The sequence below is a fragment of the Homo sapiens genome, chromosome 17, assembly GCF_000001405.40.
Source record: "Homo sapiens chromosome 17, GRCh38.p14 Primary Assembly".
NCBI classification, from domain to species: Eukaryota; Metazoa; Chordata; class Mammalia; order Primates; family Hominidae; genus Homo; species Homo sapiens.
Window position 1 is genome coordinate 36,975,976 of NC_000017.11, and position 11,768 is coordinate 36,987,743.

At 39.2% G+C, this 11,768-nt stretch overlaps 1 protein-coding gene across 3 annotated transcripts in view; it reads left to right on the top strand.

The window, feature by feature from the left end:
• AATF (apoptosis antagonizing transcription factor) overlaps nt 1-11,768 on the top strand; it is a 107,918-nt gene that overhangs the window by 27,022 nt on the left and 69,128 nt on the right. For 2 of the 3 annotated variants that reach the window (NM_012138.4, NM_001411094.1), the window contains exon 5: nt 10,642-10,756. The exons of the other annotated variant lie outside the window; for it this stretch is intronic. In NM_012138.4, coding sequence (NP_036270.1) covers nt 10,642-10,756 — 115 coding nt within the window. The remainder of the gene's footprint in view (nt 1-10,641; nt 10,757-11,768) is intronic. 3 annotated transcript variants of the gene reach the window in all.

Below are 11,768 nucleotides of genomic sequence, written 5' to 3' on the forward strand. Positions count from 1 at the left end.
TGCTTTATCTTGCCTTACTGGACCTGCTTTCCATCCATGTGATGTGGGCTTCCTTTAGTGTCTCCACTGTTTTTTCAAGTGTGGGAATCAAGTTTGGACATGACATTTTAACAGAATCTCACTTGTGTTTTTTATCATGTGATGGTATTGGGGAGGGAAGTTTTGTCATTTTTTTAGTAATTGAAAATTTCATTACACTCTGTTTCCCAGATAGTTTTGATACATAACCCTCAAGGGTACATTGATCTAGAAAATGAAAACTGTGCAATTGTTTTTTAAGCTTATAGTAGTGTTTCAATTTCTGTATCTGTAAAATGGTGATGCAATAATAGTATCTACCTCAAAGGATTGTTAGAGGACTTAAATGAATTAGTACATATAAAGTGCTTAGGCGAGTGTGTGGTACTTAGCAGGTCCTTACTGAGTATTAACTATTAATCTGAATAGTGATGGTACAATCTTTTAAGGATATAGCTCTTGGGCCACAGTATTTGTTTTCCTCTTCTTGAAAGGATTAGGTGAATAAAGACAGTACTATACATACAGCTAGTTCTTTGAAGACTTGAAATGCACATGTAAAAAGTACATACCAAGGAAGATATTAGGATGTTATTATTTCTTTTTCAGTTATTCATTCAATACCATTTGCCAACACCAAACATACCCAAGTGAGTAGTTTACAGTTTCTGCTCTCAAGGAGCTCATAGTAAGGTGAAGCTGCTTTTAAAGCATCATTTAAGTGTTTTTACGTAAACACAACCTCTCAAAGTGTTTCATTTTGAGTTGGAGAATAAACAAACCTTAGTCTTACTAGTATTAAAAGAAACACAATTAAAACAATCTTTTATTTTCTGAGTCTCAGTGTTTCAATTTAAGCGATGGTAATTACTAAATTTTCAGGAGAATGCATTGTAATGTGCCTAGCAAAAGTTGTTAATTGTTTTTGTTTTTAAATTTCTGTCTGGCAAAATGGTTTTGAGACACTCTAAGATAATCGGGAGTAGCCCGATTATCTTATAGTTGGTATATTAAAATAAAGAAAATGTTGTTTGACTACTTGCTTAACAAAAGGTCAGTTTGTTGAAGATACATAGTTGATATTAAAGTTAGGAAGTATGTAGTCTACATTTTGTTTGTCAGCATTTAGATTTGGAAGTGGTAGTGTGATCATATTCTGCCATGCGACTTAGGCAACATCTCTCTAAATGAAGAAAACATTTGTAGCATACCTTTTATGGCCCAGGTGATGTGTTGGATGCTGGATGACAGGCTGAAGCTGCCCTGAAGCAGCTTTAAGGTGGTGAAATCAGACACAGCACAAAATGGTTAAGTGTTGTAACGATATGAAGAATCCTGAGAGAGGAGTGATTAATTCTGCATGGAATCCCTGTTTTAGAAAGGTATTTTCTGAATCTCCATTTTCATCAGTTTTTTCCAGACCCATACTATAGAGAGAATTTGGGCATTTGCTTAGAGACAGTTTCACCACAGCAGAGGCTGTTTTTTTTTTTAAAGACGTTATAATATGAAAGAGTGAGACTTCTTAAAAATCAGAGGGGTTACTTGGATTGTGGTTCTAATTTTATTTTTAATAAGTTTCCTTTCTTCACAGTTTATTTTAAATTTTAATAAAATTTTAAATTGTAAAAGTAATATATGCTTATAAAATATTCAAACAGTTCAAAAGTATATCAAATAAAAATGAAAGTATCCGCACTCTCCCTGAGTAACTACTGTAAGACAGTTTAAACAATTACAGTACTTGTAAATAAACTTGGTTTTTAAGTATCTCATATTCTGAACATTTACTCTTTTCTGTTTAAAGGGGGAGAGTAAATTTTCCTTTTTGGCAAAGTGCTCAGTAGCGATGCAGGTTGTCTAGGAACTGTGAAGTGGAAGGTAACTGTAGTAGATTTCAGGAAGTACATTGATCAGCTAGATTGCTGTGTCCTATAGGGCTTTTTAAGGATTTATTGACATACTTCATCAAGGTATTTGAGAGAGTATTCAGGGAAACCTAAGAAATTCTGCAGTTCTTTTCCCTTCCTTATAAATTCATGCCTGGTCAGAAATTACAGCTTGAGTGGGATGTCCCTCCACAGAACTCAAATGCACACTATCTATCATGTTACTTAGTGTGGCAGTAATGTAAAATGGTAAGAATTTTTTTTTCTTTTTGTTTCTTTCTATGAGGAGACTCACCCAACATATATTTTATCATATGTCTCTTCAGCATTCCCTTATTTCAACTTGTACTTACTCCCCCAATTCCCCACATCATTCTCTTAAAAGAAAAAAATAAGTTTTGTCCACTGAATCCTCTTTCTTATTTGATTTAATATATCTTGAGTTGAACGTTTCTCACAAAAACACTTTGCATTCAGAATTAGCCTATCAAGTTGTTTCCTCCATACACTCCTGCATAGATCGCACGCCTTCTACTGTGGTGCCCTCTGAGATATGAAAACCCACGTCTGCTTTTGGCTTAGCCTTCATGATTTTAGAATATAAGTCTCTACATTCTGCTTTGAAAAGTTCTCCTTGTGGTTATTTTGTACCATAAAAAAAAAATTCTACTTTTAGTCCGCAGAGCTCACCAACAAACTGGGACAGAAGTCCTCACACTATTCCAGTTAAAACCATGGTCCTCATAATAGCACACACATTTATCTAAATCTGAATATATATACACATATACCTGTATATGTGTATATACACTTGGATATCTAGAAATTCTAGTTGGCCATATGTTGGAAATGATAGCAACTTATCCAAATGGTTGATGTTGAGGAATTTGTAACCTGCAGTCCTCTGTCTTACTGGTAACGCCATTCTGCTTGGGGAATATAGAACAAGCCCAAACAGTAATACTGACAGAATTCGGAATTATGATACAGTGGAGCCTTCACGCAATTCTTTGTTGAAGAAGTTAGGGCCTAAATGTTAAGGCTTATTGTTATTCTGAGTTGATAATCTCTGCCTTGCTTTAATAATTTTTCCTCATGCCTGGGTAGCCCGCGAGTTGCACAATAATCACTCACACAGCTTTGTAATCAATGCCCAAAGTAATAGGATTCCTCTGGCCACCGGCAATTAATAAATTTGTGTCTTTTTTAAAACACTAGCAAGTCGGGCCTGAAATACGACTGACTGGCTCTCCTCATTTGCATATTTATTGCAGTGGAAAAATTCTTACCAGATGATTGATGCTGAGCCTGCCTCTTGAATTCCAAGCAGCACATTATTATGAAATGAAAAATGCCGGCCATACAGTTGATTAAAGTTGAAGACAGTGGAATCGGTGTTTTTTAAGATTGTGGGAGAATTAAAGGCATATTTTAATAGATGTTGACAAGAAGTGAACTAACAAAAGCAAAGCAAAGGATTTGCTTGAAAAGATTTAATCAAACGTCTTTCTTGGGGGATTAATTGCTGGGGATGACTAGTGCAAGTGGCAGGCTTGTGTGGATTTGAATGAAAAGTATTGTTCTCAGGCCAATATATCGTGTGTCATTTTGACCTATAGTTTAGCTCTAGTTCTAGAGTTACTTTTGAAGGAGAAAAAAATGCTCTTGTAATCTGTAAATTCCAATTCAATGTATTTATCTGGGGTAATATGAATGGGGGAGTTTATGTGTACTTGTACATAAATAATTGTAATGTTTGCGTATTTATTTAAAAACAACTGTATAGATATTTAAAAACTGATAAGCTTTATTTACTTTATACACTCACTCTTCCTGTTCTCGCTTCACGCCATTGCCAGAAATTGTACTTACTGGTTTATAATCTAATTAATGAACTGTGTGTCCATGCCCAAACTTATTCCTCGCTTACAGTTTTGTTTATGTTGGACAGCCTAGATGAATCAGGGAAAAAAATAAAGCTGTTAGGTGAAAATGGTTTTTAGATTGGTGACATTTTATATATAGAATGCTTGCATATGGGTAGCATATAAATGAATACCTAATATAGGAGTCTGTGAATACTGTCCAATCCTAGTACAAGCAGAGCTTAAGATTTTTACCATGTGAAATATGATTTTTGATAGTAATATGCCTTCTATTTTTACAGCATTAAAAAAATTCTAAAATGCCTTAATATATAATAACACAGTTACTATTTTTACCTTATTTTGTAAGGACAAGCAAAGGCTTGTCCACATTTTATAAACGAGAAAATTGAGACTCAAAGAGATTAAATTGGTCCATTCAGCATAACATGACTAGTTAGTGACAGTGTCAGTTGAAATACAGGGCCCCTAACCCCCAGTAAAGTACTGTTTACATTTATCCTCTACTGAAAATTATTCCTAAAGCTGGTGGCCAGATGCTAAGGTTGAATCTTGGTAATATGATGAGGCATATGTCCTTCTTAATCTCCTCTTAAGGGAAAGACCTTTGGAAATGGACCATGTAGGGTAAAATAAACATATATATTCTTGACAGTATCCGTTTGTTTTGTGGCCATGTGCCAAGAGGGAGAGGGAAGAAAGTATATGAATCTTTGCTGCTTTTCTTAACTTTTAACTCTTGTAATAATTGGGAGAAAAATTAGAGGTGAATTAGAAACTGTTGATTCATTCTATTTATTATTCACAGGGTTGAACAGCTAGAATTCAGTCCTGTATGAATAATAGAGAGTGGTTTTTTTTTAAATGTGTTTATTTGTTTGTTTTGGCTGGGAAGAATTCACTGTTGGATTTGAGTTTCCGGGAGAGAGTCTTTCCCTCACTCTTGTCAGCTCTGGCTTGGAGGAGGCTTACCATTTGCAGCAAAGGATTGTCCCATTGTCTCAGATTTTACATGCCATCTAGAAGGAAATGCAGCCCTAATATTGCAAAGAAATAAGAATTGTGTTCTAAATCTCTTTATAGGAAGTTGTCCATGTATTGGGCCACTGGTGACATTTACTTTGATAAACTTTTTTTTTTTTTTTTTTGGTGGTTAGAAGTACAGATTTGCAGATTTCATCTCTGGTAGGTCTCTTGACACTTTGATGCATGGTAGTGCTATCCCTGAATGGAGCCTAAATACTCCAGGGCCACTTTCTGACTGGGTGAAGGGGTGTATAAAATGAGAACATATGAGAGAGTATTAACAGAAAGGCACACTTTGATTTACTGATATTGGCTCTCTGCTTTCTTGTTGGATTGATATGCTGCCTAATATATCTGCAATGGATTTTTTAAAAACTGACTTGAACAACATAAAAAGGCTCGCATAGCTACTTGAAAATGGCCCTTAAAAGTTGTAGTCTTTTGTTGGATATTTTCACAATTCTTGGGTATGCGATATGTTAGAGTCAAATTCTGACATGCATGTTGAGGACAAGTAGCTATAAATAATATAGACTGCTTTGCAGCTTATTCTCTGGGTGGTTGTTGATTTTATTTTTTAGATCGTGGACACATGGTACTTACAGGAATTAAGGGTCAGACACTTTGCTCTTCTTGTTCTTTTAACTTTTCTTTCTTTTTTTTTTTTGAGACAGGGTCTTGCTTCGTTACCCGGACTTGAGTGCAGTGGGATGATCATGGGTCACTGCAGCCTCGAACTCCTGGGCTCAAGTGATCCTCCCACCTCAGCCTCCCAAGTATCAGGGACTATAGGCGTGTGCCACCACGCCTGGCTGATTTCTTCTTCTTCTTTCTTCTTTCTTTTTTCTTCTTCTTCTTCTTTCTTCCTCTTTCTTCTTTCTTCTTTCTTCTTCTTCTTCTTTCTTTTCTTTTTTTTTTTTTTTTTGACAGTCAGTGTCTCACTGTGTTATATAGGCAGGTCTCAAACTCCTGGGCTCAAATGATCCTCTCCTTTGGCCTCCCAAAGTGTTGGGTTTACAGGCATGAGCCACGGTAACTAGCCTAAATTTTTCATTGTGGTACACAACATATAACAAAATTTACTATCCTAACCATTTTTAAGTGTACAGTTTAGTAGTGTTAAATATATTCACATTGTTGTACAACCAATCTCCAGAACTTTTTCATCTTGCAAAACTGAAACTCAACCCATTAAACAACAGCTCCCCATTTCCCTCTTTCTCCAACCCCTGGTAGCCACCATTCTGCTTTTCTCTCTGTGATTTTGACTACTGTAGGTACTTCATATATTGGAAATAGTATTTGTCTTTTTTCTAACTGGCTTATTTTACTTAGCATGATGTCCCCAAGGTTTATCCATGTTGCAGCATGTCAGAATTTTCTTCCTTTTTAAGTCTGACTAATACTCCATTGCTTTTTCCTGTTTGTTTTTTGTTTTGTTTTTTTTTTTTTTTTGAGTAGGCTCAGTTTGAAGCATTATAGATGACTCTTTTCTATACAACGATGAACTGTGATGGTGGGATTATTTATTATACTCTGGTTTTGGGATTTTTTTATTTTTATTTTTATTTTTCCTTGAGATGGACCCTTGCTCTGTTGCCCAGGCTGGAGTACAGTGGTACAATCTTGGCTCACTGCAACCTCCCCGTCCCGGGTTCAGGAAATCCTTCCACCTCAGCTGCCCGAGCAGCTGGGACTACAGGCACGTGCCACCACGCCCAGCTAATTTTTTGTATTTTTAGTAGAGATGGGGTTTCATGGTGTTAGCCATGATGGTCTCCATCTCCTGACCTCGTGACCACCCGTCTCAGCCTCCCAAAGTACTGGGATTACAGGCGTGAGCCACCGCGCCCAGCCCAGTGTTTTTTTGTTGTTTTTTTTGTTTGTTTGTTTTAATGGTGGTAAAATATACATGACATAAAGCTTATCATTTTAAGTGGACAGTTCATTGTCATTAAGGACATTCACATTGTTGTGCAACCGTCACCACCATCCACCTCCAGAACCTTTTCATGATCCCAAACTGAAACTCTGTATCATTAAACAGTAATTCTCCATTTCCCTCTTCTCAGCCCCTGGTAACTACTATTGGACTTTCTGTCTCTATGAATTTAATGATTTTAGGTACCTCATGTAACTGGAATTATACAATATTTTTCCTTTTGCAACTGGCTTATTTCACTTAGCCTAATTATTTTAAAGTCCCTTCTGGGAAAATTTTTTTTAGTGTTTCTTTTTTTTTAATTTTTAAAAATTTTATTGTTAGAGACAGCATGTTGTTCTATCACCCAAGCTGGAGTACAGTGGCGTGATCACAGCTCACTGCAGCCTCAACCACCTAGGCTTAAGGGATCCTCCCACCTCAGCCTCCCAAGTAGCTAGGACTACTGGTGTACGCTGCCATACCTGGCTAATTTTTGTATTTTTTTGTAGAGACAGGGTCTTCCTACATTGTCCGGGCTGGTCTTGAACTCCTGGTCTCAAGCAGTTTATCCACCTCAGCCTCCCAGAGTGCTGTGATTACAGGTGTGAGCCACCACATCAGGCCTTAGTTTTTTTGTTTTTGTTTTTGAGATGGAGTCTCACTCTGTCGCCCAGACTGGAGTGCAGTGGTGCAGTCTTGGCTCACTGCAACCTCCACCTCACGGGTCCAAGTGATTCTCCTGCCTCAGCCTCCCGAGTAGCTGAGACTACAGGCATGCGCCACCATACCCGGCTGATTTTTTTTGTATTTTTAGTAGAGACAGGGTTTCACCATGTTGGCCAGGCAGGTCTTGAACTCCTGACCTCAAGTGATTTGCCGACCTCGTCCTCCCAAAGTGCTGGGATTACAGGTGTGAGCCACTGTGCCCAGACTGATTTTTTTCTTAAGACAGAGAGCAACTGGTTAAGAATCTTGGTTTGGAACAAAGGCATTTTGAGTTTTTTTGGTGATAGTTATGTATTACAAATTCTCCCAAGTGGTATGATATGCAGATTATAAAGGATTACAGAATTTAGAAATGATGTAATCAAAGACCTTATTTTAAACAAGGAAGTTGTATTTATATAGTTTGATATGCAGATTATTTGAAGGAATGCAAAGTAGTTATTGGACCATTGAGTTCTTTCTGACTAGTCTGAGATGGCTCTCTCAGGTAGGTTGGCTCTCAGGCCTGACATTGAAATAGAATGCTATAGTATGAAATATATGGAGAACTTGTCTAACTCATGTATTGGTGTCCTACTGATGGAAAAAGTTGGGATATAAACTAGTGAGAAGTCTGCTCATGCTGGACAGGGTAGAAGCAGAAGCAGAAAAGAAAGAATAAGACATAAAAATCATTTAACCTAAGTTTGTGTGGGCTACAGTTTGTGTGAAATGTAAATATATGAATGTCGGGATTGTTGAACGGAAGTAGGGATGCTTGTGAGACTACAGTTACTAAGTGAAAAATGGAAGGAGTGATAGAAGCATGGCCAGAGATAAATGGGCAATTATTAGTGACAGTAAGAATGGAAAACACAGAATTCAGCAACCAGTTAAACATCTAGAATAAGAGCACCCAAATGTGAGTGATCTATGAAAACACATTGAACAATGCAGAGAGGTTCAGACAGGGAGAGGTATTAAGCAGGAAGAAAAAAGTTCTGTTTCTGACACAGTATGTGTGAAGGAGTGATGGAACAACCACATGAAGATTTTCTGGCAGTCACTGGAAATGTGAGAGTTTGATTATAGGAGAGGTGTCTGAGTACTTTCAACACATAAATGGTGACTCTCAGTGTCTAGTTAGCCCCTTGAGTAGGGTTATTCTAATAGAGAAGGTAAGAATTCTGTTGTCAGAGGACCAGTTTTGTTTTTTGCGGGGAGATTTTGGAGACAGCGTCTCGCTCTGTTGCCCAGGCTGGAGTGTAGTGGCATAATTGTAGTTCACTGTAACTTCAAACTCCTGGGCTCCAGCAATCCTCCCATCTCAGCCTCCCAAGTAGTTGGGACTATAGTGCGCACCATCAAAACCGGCTAGTTTTTAAAAAAAATTTTGTAGAGCTGGGGTCTTACTGTGTTCAGCAGGCTGGACTCAAACTCCTGTGCCCAAGCAATCATCCCGTCCTGGCCTCCCACAGTTTTTTTTTTTTTTTTTTGAGACAGAGTCTCACTCTGTCGCCCGGGCTGGAGTAAAGTGGCACAGTCTCAGCTCACTGCAACCTCTGCCTCCCAGGTTCAAGCAATTCTCCTGCCTCAGCCTCCTGAGTAGCTGGGATTACAGGTGCACACCACCGTGCGCGGCTAATTTTTATACTTTTAGTACAGACGGGGTTTCGCCATGTTGGCCAGGCTGGTCTCGATCTCCTGACCTTAGATGATCCACCCGCCTCCGCCTCCCAAAGTGCTGGGATTACAGGCATGAGCCACTGCACCTGGCCTCCAAAGTTCTGAGATTATAGGCATAAGCACTGCCCCTGGCTGAGGATGAGGTTTGTTCAGTGTGTGTGGTTTTTTTTGGAGACAGGGTCTCACCTTCACTCTATTGCTCAGGCTGGAGTGCCGTGGAGTGATCACTGCTCACCGCAGCCTCAGCCTCCTGGGCTCAAGCCATCCTCCCACCTCAGGGCCCCTCCACCAAGTAGCTGGAACTACAGGTACGCACCACCATGCCTGGCTAAATTTTTTTTTTTTTTTTTTTGGTTAGAGCCGGGGTCTCACTGTGTTGCTGAGGCTGGTCTTGAAACTCCTGGACTCAAGCAGTCCTCCCCGAGGACCAGTTTTTTTTGTTTTGTTTTTTCCAGACAGAATCTTGCTCTGTCGTCCAGGCCAGAGTGCAGTGGCATGATCTTGACTCACTGCAACCTCCGCCTCCTGGGTTTAAGCAATTCTCCAGCCTCAGCCTCCCAAGTAGCTGGGATTACAGCCACCCACCACCACCCTCAGCTAATTTTTTTGTATTTTTTTTTTAGTAGAGATGGGGTTTCACCATGTTGGCTAGGCTGGTCTCAAACTCCTGACCTTGTGATCCACCCGTCTCGGCCTCCCAAAGTGTTGGGATTACAGGCGTGAGCCACAGCGCCCGGCCGACCAGTTTTTATTCTGAAAGTTTTTATCCGTAGACTATATACATCATCTTGACCAGCTCTATTACATATGCATCTTATTGGCTCCAAGGAGAACCAGGTGAGAATATATTCTCAATGCCCAAATTTTTAATATACAATTCAATACTGCAAATAGAAAGTGATTCATTAGCTTGGGTTTTCGTATGTGAACAGGAACTTTTCCATAAGGATATGTGTTGAGAGATGGAGTGAAGGATGTGGCAGCTCAAACCAGAGGCACATGAGATCTCCTGGGGGCAAGGTGGAAGGTGTTGGTGGTGGGGATGCCTAGACAAAGTCCTACTCTTTAGGAGAAGAGAAGGAAGTGCTCAAGGAGCTGACTGATAAGGAATAGTCCAGGAGGTCAGCAGGTAACCTGTAGGAAGATACCTAAGAAACTTAACACCAACGGAACAAATTAATGGTTATAATGAGAGGCCGGGGAGGAGTTTGTCAAGCTTAATACATTTAAGAGCTGACAATGTATTGGACTCTTACTCTTTGCAGACACTTTTCTAAGCACCTTACATGCATGATCTTGCTTGTTCCTCACAACAATCCTGTGAGGTAGGCAACGTTGTTATTTCCATTTGGGAATATTTCAGAGAGTATTTAGTTCCTGTGTGTATCCTGTGCCTCCCCTTCACTCCCCACAGCCAGAACTGCTCAGGAGTCATGAGTTATAGGCATCACCTACTTTGGAGAATTGTAGATAATTAATTGTCCTTTCTCTGTCCTTTATTTCCCAGGTCACAAGGCACTTAAAGCATTGTTGAGGTCATTGGTAGGTCTTCAGGAAGAGTTGCTTTTCCAGTACCCAGACACTAGATATCTAGTAGATGGGACAAAGCCCAATGCGGGAAGGTAAGAGAACAGAATCATGGAGTTGCTTATTTTCTTTTCATTTGGATAGTTTCCCATCATTTATGAAAGAAAAGCTAAGTTCTCTTCAGGCAGATATTAATGTTAGTAAAATAGAGTCTCATATTTACCTGATGGTCAGGATGGCACATAAGTTGGTGATTAGATTTTAGATTTTTATATTTAGTTGTACCTGATGTGCTTTGCGGTCTTAGACAAAGGCTTGCCTTCTCTTTAGATCTATTGGAATTAGAAGATAAAAGCACTTTGTTTTTTAGAGATGGGGTCTTACACTGTCATCCAGGCTGGAGTGCAGTGATGTGATCGCAGCTCACTGCAGCCTCAAACTCCTGGGCTTAAGCGGTCCTCCTGCTTCAGCCTCCCAAATAGCTGGGACTGCAGGCACTTGCCACCATGCCTGGCTATTTTTTTTTTTTTTTTTTGTAGAGACAGGGTCTTGCTGTGTTTCCCTATCTGGTCTCAAACTCCTGGGCTCGAGCCATCCTTCCACCTCAGCCTCCCAAAGTGCTGGAATTATAAGCATGGGCCACTTCACCTGGCCAAAAGCACATTTTTAAAATATTAATGCTTAATTAATGTTTATGAAACATTCTGTGCCCATACCATATATTGGAATCACTGGTCACAGCCATCTCCTTTGAATAAAAGCTGTTATTATGAAAGATGGAAAAATTTCAGAAAACAGCAAAATAATTATTTTTTCCCCCTGAAATTATTACATTTGATGAAGATTTTTCCCCCTTTTGTTTACACCTGCTGTATATACCTGCTTGCTTTTTTTCCCTCGAGCTTATCTTTTGTTTCACTTTTTATCTACTGAACTAGTTGGGAGGACAAAAAGGAAACTCACATTTATTGAGCACCTATTATATGTTGAGGTCAGTAATCCAGTGAGTGCAACTGGCAGATAGTTGGAGGTTGTATTACATTGCCATGGCAGTTGCATAGATGGCACTGCAGGTTAGTTAGTGCTAATTGTTGCCTACCGCTTTGA